The sequence below is a fragment of the Homo sapiens genome, chromosome 6 (genome assembly GCF_000001405.40).
Source record: "Homo sapiens chromosome 6, GRCh38.p14 Primary Assembly".
Classification (NCBI taxonomy): Eukaryota; Metazoa; Chordata; class Mammalia; order Primates; family Hominidae; genus Homo; species Homo sapiens.
In genome coordinates this window covers 29,227,415-29,246,567 of record NC_000006.12, presented here as the reverse complement: position 1 = coordinate 29,246,567, position 19,153 = coordinate 29,227,415, and the positions used below count along the sequence as shown (strand labels likewise).

General features: G+C 37.3%; 2 long non-coding RNA genes and 1 pseudogene across 3 annotated transcripts in view; 2 read left to right on the top strand and 1 right to left on the bottom strand.

Annotated features, from left to right (window-relative positions):
• The window catches only part of LINC03003 (long intergenic non-protein coding RNA 3003), a 66,468-nt gene that overhangs the window by 43,873 nt on the left and 3,442 nt on the right, over positions 1 to 19,153 (bottom strand). The gene's annotated exons all lie outside the window — the stretch shown is intronic.
• On the top strand, positions 13,769 to 15,755 carry LOC105375006 (uncharacterized). The gene is made up of 3 exons (XR_001744077.2): positions 13,769 to 13,845; positions 14,095 to 14,305; positions 15,534 to 15,755. It is a non-coding gene; the product is annotated as an uncharacterized LOC105375006 (long non-coding RNA).
• Positions 16,348 to 17,338, top strand: OR2G1P (olfactory receptor family 2 subfamily G member 1 pseudogene; annotated as a pseudogene).

Sequence of the window (19,153 nt, the reverse complement as noted above, 5' to 3'; positions counted from 1 at the left end):
CCTCTCTAATGACTTCTCTGCTAGCATTGCAGACATATCACAATCTTTATCAGTCCTTCAGGCGCAGGTTGACTCTTCAGTTGCGGTTGTCCTCCAAAACCATGAGGCCTTGACTTACTCACTGCTGAAAAAGGGAGACTCTATATTTTTAAATGAAGAGTATTGTTTTTACCTAAATCAATCTGGCCTGGTATACGACAACCTAAAAAAACTCACGGATAGAGCCCAAAAACTCACCAACCAAGCAAATAATTACACTGAACCCCCTTGGGCACTCACTCTCTAATTGGATGTCCTGGGTCCTCCAAATTCTTAGCCCTTTAATACCTGTTTTTCTCCTTCTCTTATTCAGACCTAGTGTCTTCCATTTAGTTTCTCAGTTCATACAAAACTGCATCCAGGCCATCACCAATCATTCTATACAACAAATGCTCCTTCCAACAACCCCACGATATCACCCCTTACCACAAAATGTTTCTTCAATTTAATCTCTCCCACTCTAGGTTCCCATGCCACCCCTAATCCTGCCTGAAGCAGCCCTGAGAAACATTGCCCATTATCTCTCCATACCACCCCCCCCAAAATTTTTGCTGCCCCCAACACATCACCACTATTTTGTTTTGTTTTTCTTATTAATATAAGAAGACAGTAATGTCAGGCCTCTGAGCCCAAGCTAAGCCATCATATCCCCTGTGACCTGCACATATACATCCAGATGGCCTGAAGCAACTGAAGAACCATAAAAGAAGTGAAAATAGCCAGTTCCTGCCTTAATTGATGACATTCCACCACTGTGATTTGTTCCAGTCCCACCCTAACTGAGCATTGACCTTGTGACACTCCTTCTCCTGGACAGTGAATCTCAGGAGCTCCCCACTGAGCACCTTGTGACCCCTGCCCCTGCCTGCAAGAGAACAACCCCCTTTAACAGTAATTTTCCACTACCTACACAAATCCTAGAAAACTGCCCCACCCCATCTCCCTTTGCTGACTCCTTTTTCGGATTCAGTCTGCCTGCACCCAGGTGATTAAAAGCTTTATTGCTCACACAAAGCCTGTTTGGTGGTCTCTTCACATGGACATGTATAACATGGAGGAGTAACTTCTCCTCTATTTTTTGGAATAGTTTCAGTAGAATTGGTACCAGCACTTCTTTATATGTCTAGTGGAATTCAGCTGTGAATTTGCCTGGTACAGGGCTTTTTCTGATTTGTAAGTTTTTAAATTACTGATTCAATTTCAGAACTCATTATTGGTCTGTTCAGGGTTTTACTTTCTTCTTGGTTGAATCTTGAAAGGTAGTGTGTTTCTAGGAATTCAGCCATTTCTTTTAGGTTTTCTAGTTTTTGTGCATAGAGGTGCTCGAAATAGTCTCTGATGGATTTTTGGGGTCAGTGATATTTCTTTAAAATGTACTGCTACCATTGATTGTCATAACCAGTTTGTAGGATTCATGTTTTCCATTTATTCTTATCTCAAAAGTAGGGTAAACTGATCTCTGAATACACAGATGATAAAAGAGTAATCATAAAACTAAACTATTAATGTGTCCAATAATAATTATGGTAACAGAGATAACGTAACTTTGAAAGCAACTCATGTTCAAGTCAGAAGTGAAAATAAATACATTTTTACATGAACCAGTAAAACATTAAACATAATATTTAGTGGGGGAAAAAAGAAATATAGCATTTATTTGTGTCGGGAACATGCTAAGTCTTTCTTCTAGCTATTTTGAAATAAACAATAAATTATTGTTATCATAGAGATTTATCAAAATATCACAAGCACCTCAGAAACATGTACAATAGTTGTGTATCAATTTCTTAATTAACAATAAAAACTGAAAAATATTTAATTGACAAAGAAATTACTAAAAAGCATTATTCACATCATAATCACTTTTTCAATTAACTATTTTCTCATTCAGCTACATATTATATTAACAGTACAGCTGTGATCATGTGAGCACATGAGAAATGTGTATCATTTTTATTAAGAATTAACAAATTCGAGACTTAAACATTCGTGACTGCCAGCTCTGAGGAGAGCAGTGGATCACCCAGCACAGTGCCCGAGCTCTGCTAAGGAACAGACTGCCTCCTCAAGTGGGTCGCTGACCCCCATGCCTCCTGACTGAAAAACACCTCCCAGCAGGGATCGACAGACACCTCATACAGGAGAGCTCCAGCTGGCATCCAGCAGGTGCCCCTCCTAAACAAAGCTTCCAGAGGAAGGAACAGGCAGCAATCTGTGCTGTCCGGCAACCTCTGCTGGTGATACCCAGGTGAACAGGGTCTGGAGTGGACCTCCAGCAAACTCCAGGAGACCTGCAGCAGAGAGGCCTGATGGTTAGAAGAAATACTAACAAACAGAAAGGAATAGTATCAACATCAAGAGAAAAATGTCTACTCAGGATCCCATCTGAAGGTCACCAACATCAAAAGCCAAAGGTATATAAATCCATGAAGATGAGAAAAAAAAAACAGCACAAAAAGGCTGAAAATACCAAAAATCAGAGCACCTCTTCTACTCCAAAGATCACAAATCCTCACCAGCAAGGGAACAAAACTGGATCGAGAATGAATTTGACAAATTGACAGAAGTAGGCTTCAGAAGGTGGGTAATAACAAACTCCTCTGAGCTAAAAGAGCATGTTCTAACCCAATGCAAGGAAGCTAAAAACCTTGAAAAATGTTTAGAGGAATTGCTAACTAGAATACCAATTTAGAGAAGAATATAAATAACCTGATGGAGCTGAAAAACACACCACGAGAACTTCGTAAAGAATACACAAGTATCAATAGCTGAATCAATCAAGTGGAAGAAAGTATACAAGAGATGGAAGATCAAATTAATGAAATAAAGCATGAAGCCAAGATTAGAGAAAAGAGAATGAAAAGGAATGAACAAAGCATCCAAGAAATATGGGACTATGTGAAAAGACCAAACCTACATTTGATTGGTATACCTGAAAGTGACTAGAAGAATGGAACCAAGTTGGAAAACACTCTTCAGGATATTATCCAGGAGACCTTCCCCAGCCTAGCAAGACAGGCCAACATTCAAATTCAGGAGATAGAGAGAACACCACAAAGATACTCCTCAAGAAGAGCAACCCAAAAACATGTAATTGTCAGATTCACCAAGGTTGAAATGAAGGAAAAAATATTAAGGGCAGCCAGAGAGAAAGGTCAGAATACCAACAAAAAGAAGCCTCTCAGACTAACAGCAGATCTCTCTGCAGAAACCCTACAAGCCAGAAGAAAGTGGGGGCCAATATTCAACATTCTAAAAGAAAAGAATTCTCAACCCAGAATTCTATACCCAGCCAAACTAAGCTTCATAAGCAAAGGAGAAATAAAACTCTTTACAGACAGCAAATAATGAGAGATTTTGTCACCCCCAGGCCTACCTTACAAGAGCTTCTAAAGGAAGCAATAAGTGGGGAAAGGAAAAGCCGGTACCAGCCACTGCAAAAACATACCATATTGTAAAGATGATCGACATTATGAAAAAAGTGCATTAACTAATGGGCAAAATAACCAGTTAGCATCATAATGACAGGATAAAATTCACACATAACAATACTAACCTTAAATGTAAATGAGCTAAATGCCCCAATTAAGAGACACAGACTGGCCAACTGGAAAAAGAGTCAAGACCCATCAGTGTGCTGTATTCAGGAGACCCATCTCATGTGCAAAGACACACATAGGCTCAAAGTAAAGGAATGGAGGAACATCTAACAAGCAAATGCAAAGCAAAAGACTTCAAGGGTTGCAATCCCAGTCTCTGATAAAACAGACTTTAAACCAACAAAGATCAAAGAAGACAAAGAAGGGCAATACATAATGGTAAAGGGATCAATGCAACTATCCTAAATATATATGCACCCAATACAAGAATACCCAAATTCATAAAGCAAGTTCTTAGAGACCTACAAAGAGACTTAGACTCCCATACAATAATAGTGGGAGACTTTAACACCCCACTGTTAATATTAGACAGATCAATTAGACAGAAGATTAACAAGAATATTAAGGACTTGAACTCAGCTCTGGACCAAGTGGACCTAATAGACATCTATAGAACTCTCCACCCCAAATCAACAGAACATACATTATTCTCAGCACCACATAGCACTTATTCTAAAATTGACCACATAATTGGAAGTAAAACTCTCCTCAGAAAATGCAAAAGAATGGGAATCATAACAAACAGTCTCTCAGACCACAGTTTAATCAAATTCGAACTCAGGATTAAGAAACTCACTCAAAACTGTAAAACTATATGGAAACTGAACAATGTGCTCCTGAATGACTACTGGGTAAATAACAAAATTATGGCAGAAATAAATAGATTCTTTGAAACCAATGAGAACAAAGACACAACATACCAGAATCTCTGGGACACAGCTAAAGCAGTGTTTACAGGGAAATTTATAGCACTACATGCCCACAGGAGGAAGGGGGAGAGATCTAAAATCAACGCCCTACCATCACAATTAAAAGAACCAGAGAAGCAAGAGTAAACAAAGTCAAAAGCTAGCAGAAGATAAGAAATAACTAAGAACAGAGCAGAACTGAAGGAGATAGAGACATGAAAAATCCTTCAAAAATCAATGAATCCAGGAGTCGGTTTCTTGAAAAGATTAACAAAATAGATAAACTACTAGCCAGACTAATAAAGAAGAAAAGAGAGAAGAATCAAATAGACAGAATAAAAAATGATAAAGGAGATATTACCACTGATCCCACAGAAATACAAATTACCACCAGAGAATACTGTAAACACCTCTATGCAAATAAATTAGAAAATCTAGAAGAAAGGGATAAATTCCTGGACACATACATCCTCCCAAGACTAAACTAAGAAGAAATCCAGTTCCTGAATAGACCAATAACAAGTTCTGAAATTGAGGCAGTAATTAATAGCCTACCAACAAAAAAAGCCTAGGACCAGATGGATAAACAGCCGAATTGTACCAGAGGCACAAAGAAGAGCTGCTATCATTCCTTCTGAAACTATTCTAAACAATAGAAAAAGAGGGACTCTTCCCTAACTCATTTTATGAGGCCAGCATCATTCTGATACCAAAGCCTGGCAGAGACACAATGAAAAAAGAAAATTTCAGGCCAATATCCATTATGAACATTGATGCAAAAATCCTCAATAAAATACTGGCAAACCAAATCAAGCAGTACATCAAAAAGCTTATTCACCATGATCAAGTCAGCTTCATCCCTGAGATGCAAGGGTGGTTCAACATACACAAATCAATAAACATAATCCATCACATAAACAGAACCAATGATAAAAACCCCATGATTATTTCAATAGCTGCAGAAAAGGCTTTTGATAAAATTCAACAACCCTTGATTCTAAAAACACTCAATAAACTAGGTATTGATGGAACATATCTAAAAATAGTAAGAGGTATTTATGACAAACCCACAGCTAATATCATACCGAATGGGCAAAAGCTGGAAGCATTCCCTTTGAAAACCAGCACGAGACAAGGATGCCCTCTCTCACAACTCCTATTCAACACAGTATTGGAAGTTCTGGCCAGGGCAATCAGGCAAGAGAAAGAAATAAAGCATATTCAATTAGGAGGAGAGGAAGTCAAATTGTATCTGTTTGCAGATAACATGATTGTATATTTAGGAAACCCCATCACCTCAGCCCAAAATCTCCTTAAGCTGATAAGCAACTTCAGCAAAGTCTTAGGATACATAATCAATGTGCAAAAATCACAGGCATTTCTATACACCAATAATAGACAAACAGAAAGCCAAATCATGAATGAGCTCCCATTCACAATTGCTACAAAGAGAATAAAATACCTAGGAATACAACTTACAAGGGATGTGAAGGACCTCTTCAAGGACAACTACAAACCACTTCTCAAGGAAATAACAGAGGACATAAACAAATGGAAAATCATTCCATGATCATGGATAGAAAGAATCAATATAGTGAAAAAGGCCATACTGCCCAAAGTAATTTATAGATTCAATGCTATCCCCATCAAGCTACCACTGACTTTCTTCACAGAATTAGAAAAAACTACTTTAAATTTCATATGGAACCAAAAAAGAGCCCATCCCGTATTGCCAAGACAATCCTAAGCAAAAAGAACAAAGCTAGAGGCATCACACTACCTGACTTCAAACTATACTAAAAGGGTACAGTAACCAAAACAGCATGGTACTGGTACCAAAACAGATATATAGACCAATGGAACAAAATAGAGGCCTCAGAAATAATGCCACATGTCTACTACCATCTGATCTTTGACAAACCTGACAAAAAACAAGCAATGGGGAAAGGATTCCCTATTTAATAAATGGTATTGAAAAAACTGGCTGGCCATATGCAAAAAGCTGAAACTGGACCCCTTCTTTACACCTTATACAAAAACTAACTCAAGATGAATTAAAGACTTAAATGTAAGACCTAAAAACATAAAAACCCTAGAAGAAAACCTAGGCAATACCATTCAGGATGGGCAAAGACTTCATGACTAAAACACCAAAGCAATGGCAACAAAAGCCAAAATAGACAAATCAGATCTAATTAAAGTAAAGAACTTCTGCACAGCAAAAGAAACTAACAACAGAGTGAAAAGGTAACCTACAGAATGGGAGACAATTTTTGCAATCTATCCATCTGACAAAGGGCCAATATCCAGAATCTACAAGGAACTTAAACAAATTTACAAGAAGAAAACAAACAACCCCATCAAAAAGTGGGTGAAGCAAATGAATCGACACTTCTCCAAAGAAGACATATATGTGGCCAACAAACATGAAAAAAAGCTCATCATCACTGGTCATTAGAGAAATGCAAATCAAAACCACAGTGAGGTACCACCTCATGCCAGTTAGAATGGCGATCATTAAAAAGTTAGGAAACTACAGATACTGGAGAGGATATGGAGAAATAGGAATGCTTTTATACTGTTCTTGGGAGTGAAAATTAGTTCAACCATTGTAGAAGACAGTGCAGCAATTCCTCAAGGATCTAGAACCAGCAATACCATTTGACCCAGCATTCCCATTACTGGGTATATACCCAAAGGATTATAAATCATTCTAATATAAAGACACAAGCACACGTATGTTTATTGCAGCACTGTTTACAATAGCAAAGACTTGGAACCAACCCAAATGCCCATCAATGATAGTCTGGATAAAGAAAATGTGGCACATATAACCCATGGAATATTATGCAGCCATAAAAAAAAGGATGAGTTCATGTCCTTTGCAGGGACATGGATGAAGCTGGAAATCATCGTTCACAGCAAACTAACACAGGAACAGAAAACCAAACACTGCATGTCCTCACTCATAACTGGGAGTTGAAAAATAAAAACATATGGACACAGGGAGGGGAGCATCACACACTGTGGTCTTTTAGGGGGTGGGGGGCCAGGGGAGGGATAGCATTAGGAGAAATACCTAATGTAGATGACAGGTTGATGGGTGCATCAATCACCATGGCACGTGTATACCTATGTAACAAACCTCCACGTCTACACATGTATCTCAGAACTTAAAATATATAATATATAATATATATGTATAAAGTATATATATAAAGTATATATATATAAAGTATATATAAAGTATATATACATATATAAAGTATATATAAAGTATATACATATATAAAGTATATACATATATAAAGTATATATATATAAAGTGTGTATATACACACACACACACATATATATAGGAATTGCTCCTAACCAGAGTAATCAGGCAAGAGAAAGAAAAAAATGGCATGTAAATAGGAAGAAAGAAAGGCAAACTATCTGTTTGCAGACCACATGATACTATATCTAGAAAACCCCATTGCCTCAGCATAAAAGCTCCTTCAGCTGATACACAACTTCAGCAAAGTTTCAGAATACAAATCCATATACAAAAATCACTAGCATTACTATACACCAACAGCCAAGCCAAGAGCCAAATTAGAAAGGCAATCCTTTTCTAATTTGGGAATTACAATTGCCACAGAAAGGATAGAATACTTAGGGGTACAGCTAACCAGGTAGGTGAAAGATCTCTACAATGAGAATTACAAAGAAATCAGATCCGTGCTTAAAGAAATCAGAGAAGACACAAACAAATGGAATAACATCCCATGCTCGTGGATAGGAAGAATCAATATTATTAAAATGGCCATACTGCCCAAAGCAATTTACATATTCAATGATATTCCTATCAAAATACCAACAACATTCTTTGCAGAACTAGGAAAATCTATTTTAAATTTCATATGGAACCAAAACAAAGCCCGAATAGCAAAGGCAATCCAAAGCAAAAAGAACAAAGCTAGAGGCATCACCCAACTTTAAACTACACTACAGAACTATGGTAACCAAACAGCATTGTACTGGTACAAAAACAGGTACATAGACCAATGGAACAGAATAGAGAGCCCAGAAATAAGAATGCACACCTATGACCAGTTGATCTTCAACAAAACTGACAAAAACAAAGGGGAAAAGACTCCCTATTCCATCAAACATGCTGGGATAACTAGCTAATATCCAGCTTCTATGAGGAACTTAAACAAATTTATGAGAGAAAAACAAACAACCCCATTAAAAAGTGGGCAAAGGACATGAACAGACACTTTTCCAAAGAACACATACATGTGGCCAGTAAGCATATGAAAAAAAAAAAAGCTCAATATCACTGGTCATCAGAGAAATGCAAATCAAATCCAGAATGAGATACCATCTCACACCAGTCAGAATGGCTATTATTAAAACGTAAAAAAATAACAGATGCTGGCAAGGTTGCAGAGAAAAGGGAACACTTATACGCTGTTGATGGGAGTATAAATTGGTTAAGCCAATGTGGAAACAGTATGGCTATTCCTCAAAGAGCTAAAAGCAAAACTACCATTCAACCCAGCAATCCCATTACTGGGTATACACCCAGAAGAATAGAAATCATTTTACTGTAAAGACACATGTGGCCAGGTGCAGCGGCTCTCAGCTATAATCCAAGCACTTTGAGACCAGCGTGGGCAACATGGCCAAACCGCATTTCTACCAAAAATACAAAAATTAGCCGGGTGTGGTGGTGCATGCCTGTGGTCCCAGCTACCAGGGAAGCTGAGATGGGAGGATCACCCGAGACTGGGGAGGTCAAGACTGCAGTGAGCCATGATTGTGCCACTGCGCCGCAGCCTGGGCGAGAGAGTGACATCCTGTCTCAAAAAAAAAAAAAAAAGGATACAGCACATGTGCAGGTAAATGTTCATCACAGCACTATCCAGAAAAGCAAGACATGGAATCAACCTAAATGCCTACCAATGACAAATTAGATTTTAAAAATGTGGTATATACAGCTATAAAAAAAAGATCATGTATTTTGTGGGAGCATGGATGGAGCTAGAGGCCATTATCCTTAGCTAACTAATGCAGGAACAAATAAATAAATACCACATGTTCTCACTTATAAGTGGGAGCTAAATTATGAGAACTCATAAACACAAAGAAGGAAAAAACAGAAACAGATTTTCTTGAGGGTGGAAGGTGGGAGAAGGGGTAGGAGGGGAAAAAGATAACTATTGGATACTGAGCATAATACATGGGTGATGAAATAATCTGTACAACAAACCCCTGTGACACAGTTTCCCTTCTGTAACAAACCTTCACACGTACCCCTGAACCTAAAATAAAGTTTTTATTAGAAAAAAAAAAGTCGAAGTCAGCAGAAATGCTTGGGTTTAAGATAGGGGGAGTTGTGGAAGCCAAGGTTCTTGTTATGTAAATAAAGTCTTCAGGTGGCAGGCTTCAGAAAAAATTAAGTAGTAAATGTCTCTTATGAGATCTTAAAAAGTGTCAGACTATTAGTTAAATCTCTCCTGGATCTGGAAAAGACCTGGAAAGGGTAGCGAATTCTATACAGAATGTAGATTTTCCCCACAAGAAACAATAATATAGGTGTTATAAACAAATTATTTAGGCAGATAGTGAGGGTAAGGAAATCCTTCCTGGGTAAGGTTTTCCTTTTAATAAAAAGCAGCCCCCAAATCATTTTTTCTAACAAAGAGCAGCCTGTATAGAATCTAGCTGCAGACATAGACAAGCAAACAGGAAGTTTGCATTGATCAATGCTGGCAGTTGTGCTAATAGAAAAAGGCTACCTGGGATTAAGCATGATCAAAATGGTGGCTCCATCTTCCCTTCTCTTTGTCAGCCACGTGTAGAATAAGGAGCAGACAAGATGGTGCTGGCCATAAGATTAAGGTGGGTCAACCAGACTTCCCTGCGGGCTATGTAAATGTCACACCTGGTAGAACCAATCTGTGACCCTGTGTAAATCAGACACCGGCTCCTCCTCAAGCTTGCCTATAAAATCTGCTGTGGTCTGCCGCAAGCCAGTTGTTTCCCTTTCAAAAACCTCTTTCTCACGAGGGAGAGAGAGAGAGAGAGCTGCTTGCCTCTCTCCTTTCTTCTGCCTGTTAAACTCTCTGCTCCTTAACACACCCACATGTGTCCGTGTCCTTAATCTTCTTAGTGCAAGACGATGAACCCTGGGTATTTACCCCAGACAACGATGCCACTTCAACAGCTTTTCAAAGGCATTCCAAAAGGTGTCAAAGAAATCTATTTTGGGGTAAAATACTTTGATTTCTTTCAGGACTGGCTATCTATCATGTGATGCTATACTAGAGTCAGGTTGCAATTTGGTATGTTATTGCTATAAGGAATCTGTTTTGTCAGTCTTAATTAAGATCTCTGTTTTAAAGTTAATAATGCTGGTAAGTTATGCCTGAATTCCAAAGGGAGGAGAGTATGTCCCTGCAAAGCTGCTTCTGGTGGGGGAAATTTACATTCTGTAGCGAATCGCCTTTGCTTTCCAGGTCTTTTTCTGATCCTGAAGAGTTTAGTTGAGAGTCCAGTATCTTTTAAAGGTCTGAATACAAAATATTTCCCATCTATTGCTTGTAAGGGTGACCACTTATGAGACTTCATCTACATAATAAGAACCTTGTTCTCTACAATCCCTTATTTTAATCCAGACACTCCTTTCTATTGATTCTAGGCATTTAAATAGTAACAAGTTTTTCAACCAATTGCCAATAAGAAAATCTTTGAATTTACCTTTGATGTGGAAGGCCCCACTTTGAGTTGTTCCACCTTTCATGACTGAACCAACACAGACCCCACATGTATTGACTGATTTTTTACATGCTCCTAAAATGTAAATCAAGTTGTAATTCAATCACCTTGGGCACTTGTTCTCAGGATGTCTTGAGACTGCGCCTCAGGCCGTCAATTACTCACATTTGGCTCAGAATAAAACTCTTTAAATATTTCATGGAGTTTGACTCTTTTTTGTTGACAATTTTTTCTTCAAGAGTGTCTCAGAATTAATGATACTTGATATTCTATATACAACTTGGTATTCTATATACATTTTAGAATAATCTTAGAAAATTTTACAAATAGTCTGAATTTTGATTGAGTTAGCACTGAATATAGAGATCAAAGATATAATTAATATCTATACAATTTTGAATCATCTATGAATAGTTGTAATCACTTTGAATTTTCTACATACATAATCATATATATAATAATGAAATTTTATTTCTTCTACTGCAATCTTGCTTGTTCCTTGTCTTATCCTATTATACTGGCTAAAGTCTCTACAACAAAGTAGTTTGAATGGAAATGGAAATAGAAGGTGTCCTTGTCTTTTCCTCAATTTCAAAGAGAAAATTTTCAACATATTCATAATGCTTGCTGAAAGGGTTTTCGGATCCTGTTTAACAGATTAGGATCTATCATTCTTTTCATAGCTTACTAAGTCATTTTTATTATTTTTATATATTTTGAGACTTATCAAATACTTGATTTTTTATCTGATGATATGATTATAAAATGTTGTTTCTTTATTGTGTTATTTTGCTAACACAATGAAAAAATGAATTTCATTTTTTTCTGGAATAAATTTACTTTCAGCAGTGTGTAGAATATTTTAAATAATTGAATTAATTGGTAATATTTTCAAATCTATGTTAATTCATGGGACTATCATGCAATTTTAAAATTTTGTTTTGTTGCCAAAGTTATACTTGACTAAAATAGTATTTGAAACTTGCCTTCTATTTTTTAAACCTCTGGCATATATAAAAATTTCCTACAAATGAATTTGGAAAAAGTCAAGGACTTGAATGGATACTACACAAAAGATTTCTCAATGACTATAAATATAAGAGAAACTGGTCAACTTCATTAGTTAGTAGGTGAGTACAAATTAAAATCATAATGATATATTCATGATATATCACCAGAATGGCTAAAATTAAGAGGACAGAAAACACTGTTAGTATAGATTTGGAGCAACTGTAATTCTCACCATACTGTGGAGTTTAAGTTTGTGCAACCAACTTCCAGAATTGGTGGTATCTACCAAAGCTGAATATATGCATACCTCAAACCTAAGCAATTTCTCCACAGTATCGTCCCTGCCAAAATGCTTACATTTCTTACCAAACACATATACTAAAGTGACTGCAGCAGCAATATTCACAAAAGACAAAAATCATAAGCACCCAAATGTCTAGCCTATCAGTACTACAAAGGATAAAATAGTTGTGGCATATTTATACAATGAAATACAATGCAGTAAAAATATAGTGCTGTATTGGTATACGCAACCACATAAATGAATCTCCCAAAGATAACATTGAATAAATATAAGCAGAAACAAAAGAAATAATGCTGTATGATTTTGTTTATATATAGTTCAAAAAAATCATAATAATGGTTACAAGGGGCAGGTATAAGTAGCATAAGGAAATGAAATTGAGAGTCATTCTAGAATGTTTCTTACATTGTTTTCTTGATCAAAATTTGTTCACTTTGTAATAATTAAGTTGCACCTTCATGAACTATTTTATATAAACTTTTTTTTTTTTGCCTTCAGCAAACATTTTTTTTTCTTTTTTTCTTTTTTTTATTATACTTTAAGTTCTAGGGTGCATGTGCACATTGTGCAGGTTAGTTACATATGTATACATGTGCCATGCTGGTGCGCTGCACCCACTAACTAAACTATTTTTTTAAATGAAAGCTTTCATAAAAATCTAGATTCCATTGAGAATTCAGAATATTTTGCAATCCTGGGGCTCAATGCATAGAAAATTGGTCAACTAGCGCTCAGCAGTTGTTGTTTTCTTCAGATGTGGCATGTGCAGCAAAATGTTCACCACTCTTTTATTACTGCATATAGACCTCAGCTAAATGTTTGTTGACACTTATCATTGCATTTCTACAATTGTTTTTCTTATACCTTATCCACTCAGTCATTCATATCACCTGCTTGTACTTGAATATGCATTAGATTTTTCTTGGACCCTAAAATATTTATAGAATTTGCCTTAAACAAATAGAGGTTCACTTCCTCTATTGAGACCTGAAAAAAAATCATAAAGGAAGAGTATGAATGTATATACATTTATAGGTGACAGACAGGAAGTTAATGGAATTTCCCCCTGGGCCCTCTGTTTTGTCTTGGAAGTCAGGGCAAGATAACCTGCTTGGAGAGCTGTGGGACACTGGATTGGAGGATTTAAGAATTTGTTGAACATTTGCTATGGTGATGCAAGAGACAAACAGGATACACACAGAATGACCTCTGGACAGAAGAGAGCCCATTGGAAGTTGAGAAAGACCAGGGGTGTTTAAGGGCGCCGTTCAAAACATTTATATATTTATCTCCAGCAACAGTCAAGTGCCTATTAGATATGAGGGAAAAGGCCCTGTTGGAAGGCTGCAGGCCTGCCGTTTTTGTCTCAGTAGAGGTGAGGTAAAGGCAAGGTGCCCCAAAATTTAAAGTTATTAAGAAGAGAATTTAAAGTTATGAGTCAACAGGATAAATTAATTATATGTACTTGCATATATAAAATACTAGATTTTTGATAGAAACTTAACAGCAGAAATGAGAAAATTGAACGTTGGGAGGCTATGAGGGCAGAAGTTAAATATCTTTGTGGTTTTGCCTAGATTTACACAATATTGAAAGATCAGAGAGTCAAAATTATTTCTTTCAGAATAAACTCCTGGGACATTTCATCTTTGGATACTACAGAGCCTGATATTAATTGCATGTTGGGAGAACTGTGTCCCTGGGATCTTTTTGGATTCAGTGTCCTGCGTCCTTGCCAGTGTCTCCTGATTTGCTGATCTTCAGTGATCTCCAATCTCAAATAACAGCCCCGACAACCAATACATGAGCCTTAGACACTGAGTTGTCACTTGAAGGTAATAATGGTTTGAACTCTATGGCTTAAGCTTCCTTTCTGTATTAAAATATGATTATTAGTGTGAAAAAAATGTGGAAAACTTTTTTTCTTGTAACATATTTATTTCTTTTTATGCTTTGATTTTATTTCTATACCATGCCCATGATTCTTAACTTTTAATGGCGAACTGGTTTAAAGTGATGTTCATCTGGGTGAGGGGAGATTATATAGTGCCCATGTTAAATTTTGCATCATGGTAAAATAAAATTCTTCTACAAGCCTAAAACAAACATATTCCTACAAATAAGGAGCTGGTTCATGACTGTGAATTGATCTCTCATCGCGTTTCTTTGGAGGTATTGTGTGTGAGTGTGTGTTAAAAATACAGGAGAAGTCTCCTTTGATTGGGATGGGTAAATTGACAATGAGCAGGCTGCATTAAACAGATTAGAACAAGAGTGATGTGTGTCTGGCTTTATTTTATTCCTTTGATACAAGTAAAACGAGTACAATTTAGTGTAGCTAAATGGGTGGGAATTAACATAAATGAGAGAATCGGAAGACTTACGCATGTATGTATGTTTTTATGGGTATGTATGTGTATAACTGTGAGTGAAATTATTAGAACTATATATATTTAGTATACGTTATATTGAATATATTACATGTAGCATATTTATAAACTGGTTTATTCCTTAAGGGTCCTTTCATGTTCTCTTTTTACTATTGTGCTCTCCTCCCCCTATTTTGAGGGATCACTCAGTGTCTTCATCCTTTTATGGGGTACCCATGCCTCCTCTGACTTTTCCTGTGACTTCTTTTCATTTCCATTGAGTACTGCTAAGTACAATTTTTAGATGATAAGTGAAATAAATATTAAAAAAGCAGTGAAAATTACCTTATATATTTTACTTTAATGACTAATTTTCAGAACAAATATTAATGCAATTTCAGGATATACAGTTATTGTAGGGGAAGAATTTTAGGCTGGAGTAATTTTTCCTGATGCCACGTGGAAAGTGCCTATTTGTCCTATATATGAGGTAAAGTCGTGAAATTTGGGTATATACTTTGTATCTGTGAATATATTTTAAACTTCTGCATTTATAAGTGTTTGGACTTTTAAAAAGCTGATTAAAAATTTTGATCTTTTCATCTTCTAGAAGATAAACATTCTATGTTGGTTTGATGCCTCTTAGTCTCACTAAAGAGCCCTTCTTACCCTGATCACCACTCTTTCCATTCAGATTCAACTACCTCTTCATTCAACACACAAGACCAGAGAGCTAACTCCCTTCCCTAACACCACACACCAAAGAAGAGAAGGAGAACTTTGCAAATCAGGACTATCATAGATGAATCCAGCTTATAGGCCAGAAGGTAAACTAGATGACTAAACATGAGGTGTGCTGCATAATGCTTGCATAAGAATATCTTTGCTGAATAAACTGCATGAGTTTACGTCATCAGTATGCTGGTGGACTAAATGAGTTAACGAATCCCTAAAGAAAATAAGTCATTGAAAGTATGTGTCCATATAATTAAACATTAAGTTATAAATGTTAATATTATTACTTTCAATAGCCAAATGTTTGCCATTTTATAGGAAAAATAACCTCTATAATCTCCAGAAGCGAGCTACCATTCATATAAAGAAAAACCTTAAAAAATGCCCAACTCAGAATTTACAATTGAAGAATGGAAATGCTATTTATATTAATTATTTGCATATATTAACCATTACTGAGTTTTTTCACTGAATTTGAACAATTTGTCCTGAGTTATAAATTAATTGAATGTACTTTATTCCTTTGACATTTTCTTTCTTTCTGCCTTTATTTTTTCTGTGATACACTTTATCTCAGCTTCTAATAGTTATCAGTCAGGAAAATACTGCTTCCACAATAGCCTTCATGTATCTCTCTGTATTATGTATTTTCTTTAAGGTCTTCTTTTGTGATTTCTATATCAAAATTTATTCCATGGGTCACTGTAACATCTCTGAGTCAGTGTTTTGATTAGAGATTAATCAAAACTTTTTAAAGATTGATATTTTGCCCAATGGCCAACACATTATCCTCCCTGAATTCTTGTAATGTGTTTCTCCTAGTTCTGAACAGGGTGATGGGCATGACCAACAGCAGTGTCAAGGGAGACTTCATCCTGGTGGGTTTCTCTCATCAGCCCCACCTGGAAAAGATCCTCTTTGTGGCTGTTTTGATATCCTATCTCCTTACCCTTGTGGGAAATACAGTAATTATTCTGATCTGCTCTGTAGACCCTAAACTCAAGACACCCATGTATTTTTTCTTACTCACCTCTCCTTAGTTGATATCTGTTTTACCACCAGTATTGTCCCCCAGCTGCTGTGGAACCTAAAAGGACCTGACAAAACAATCACATTCCTGGGTTGTGTCATCCAGCTCTACATCTCCCTGGCATTGGGCTCCACTGAGTGTGTCCTCCTGGCTGTAATGGCTTTTGATCGCTATGCTGCAGTTTGCAAACCTCTCCACTATACCGCCGTAATGAACCCTCAGCTGTGCCAGGCTCTGGCAGGGGTTGCGTGGCTGAGTGGAGTGGGAAACACTCTTATCCAGGGCACTGTCACCCTCTGGCTTCCTCGCTGTGGACACCGATTGCTCCAACATTTCTTCGTGAGGTACCCTCCATGATTAAGCTTGCATGTGTGGACATCCATGATAATGAGGTTCAGCTCTTTGTTGCTTCACTGGTCTTGCTCCTCTTGCCCTTAGTGCTAATACTGCTGTCCTATGGACATATAGCCAAGGTGGTCATAAGGATCAAGTCAGTCCAGGCCTGGTGCAAAGGCCTGGGGACATGTGGATCCCATTTGATAGTAGTGTCCCTCTTCTGTGGGACCATCACAGCTGTCTACATCCAGTCCAACAGTTCTTATGCCCATGCTCATGGGAAGTTCATCTCCCTCTTCTATACAGTTGTGACCCCGACCCTCAATCCTCTCATCTACACACTGAGGAATAATGACGTGAAAGGAGCACTGCGATTATTTAACAGAGACTTAGGCACATAAAAAATGAAGCAGAGTACACAGCGCTCAACTTTTTTCACAAAGCAACTTTAAAGGTCATCTTGTATAATTTTTCACTCAAGAACTTTGCCAGTCTGTAAAGGAAGAGATGTAATCTTCTCCATCTGCATTACTGTATTTCACTTGGCCTCAGAGCTTTCTATCCTCTCCAATCTCTTTCCAGACTTCTTTTGAGCCCATGTAAGGCAATATTCCCCCATGCCTTTTAGATCTCCATGAGTCACATCATTTCTGTTTCTCGCTCTCCCCGGCTTCCTGTGCTTTTCTTTAGCCTTCCTTCCTTTCTTGCTTTTTTCCTTCCCTTCCTTCCGTTTCCACCTTTTATTTATTCATTAAAAAAAGACATATAAGCCCTCAAACACAATTTTGGTATACAAGGTCTTGTTTATTATATAATAGTCATTGTTTTGGATCAACTCAGAGAAAAGTATAGAGCCCTTCTTGAATTACTTAAAACTTAACTATAAATTAGGGCATGCTTTATTTAAATATACTCAAGCACTGAAAAGGAATAGGTATCTGTGTTCTAGAGCAGGCTGTGGCAAACTGGGGGAACAGGCCAAATCACTCATTCTAACACTTGATAACATGATTTTTTATTTCAGTTATTCACAAGAAGGGACATTCACCAGCAGTTAGTAATTAATGATATCTTTTCCATCTTCAATTAAACAGAGAGTTCACAGAATTCCATCTGGGGCCTGCTTTGAAACTATGCACACTTGGCAAAAGGAAAAGAGCTCAGATCCAAACAGGACATGGGTACCAGTGTTTTATAAATCAAAATTTCTCACCCTTAGCCCTCTGGACATTTTGGAACAGATAATTTTCTGTTGTCAGGGTCTCTCTTCTGCATTTTAGGATGCTCAGCAGTATCTTTGGCCTCTGTGCACTAGATGCTAGTAGCATCTCCTTTCCCCCCAAGTTGTGACAAGCAAAAATACCTCCAGACATTGTCAAATATGCCCTAGGAAGCAAAAATGCTCCTGGCATAGAAGCACTGCCATAAATCAGGGCATATTGCTATATCAAGAGGCATGTTTTATTACATGGGAGTAAGCCTACAGGGTCAGAGTGAGACTAGCAGCAGTCATTCTAGTGCACAAAGCATAGGTGTGCACATAGAAACACAAAAGCACAGGAACATATACAAACATATTTGATAAAATGTTTTTAGTGTCCTTTTGTTTCATTATGTATGGTTTTAAATTTTCATTTTTATAATAAGAGAAAAGGCCATTTTGACATATGTTGAACTATCTTTTTCAGAGCAATGTTATTTCATTAAAAATTTTTTTGAAGGGAAGATTTTACTTTAATTTTATATTATTAAATAGTGAGGCATGAGGTAAAATCGGTGGAAATGAGAACGTGAAGTAAATGCTCAGTGATTCCAATTGCATTCACCTCTCCAACATGGCATCTGCTGTTTAGGGAGGCGGGGTTATCCAGCTTCTGGATCTGGGTGTGGGCATGGGATAGTCAGATGGGAATGGCACCAGTTGGAGGAACATGGGTAAGAGAGGGTGAAAGGTAAAGTGCTATCTCTGAGGTAGGTTAGGGTCTGACATCTGGAAAGTTGGGGAAGGAAGGAGCCCTAAGGAGATATAGCCTAGGGCTTTTCCAGCTACTTTGACAGCCATTTGTTCTGTTACGAGATCCCGATGTCACTTGAACAAGACCCTCAGTGGGCCTCATCTTGGCTCCATTACTTTCTGAAAGCTTTTTCTTCATCTTCCGTTTTTTCTTGGGTTCAACACCAGATGGTGCCAGCAGACCATAATGTATCCAGCA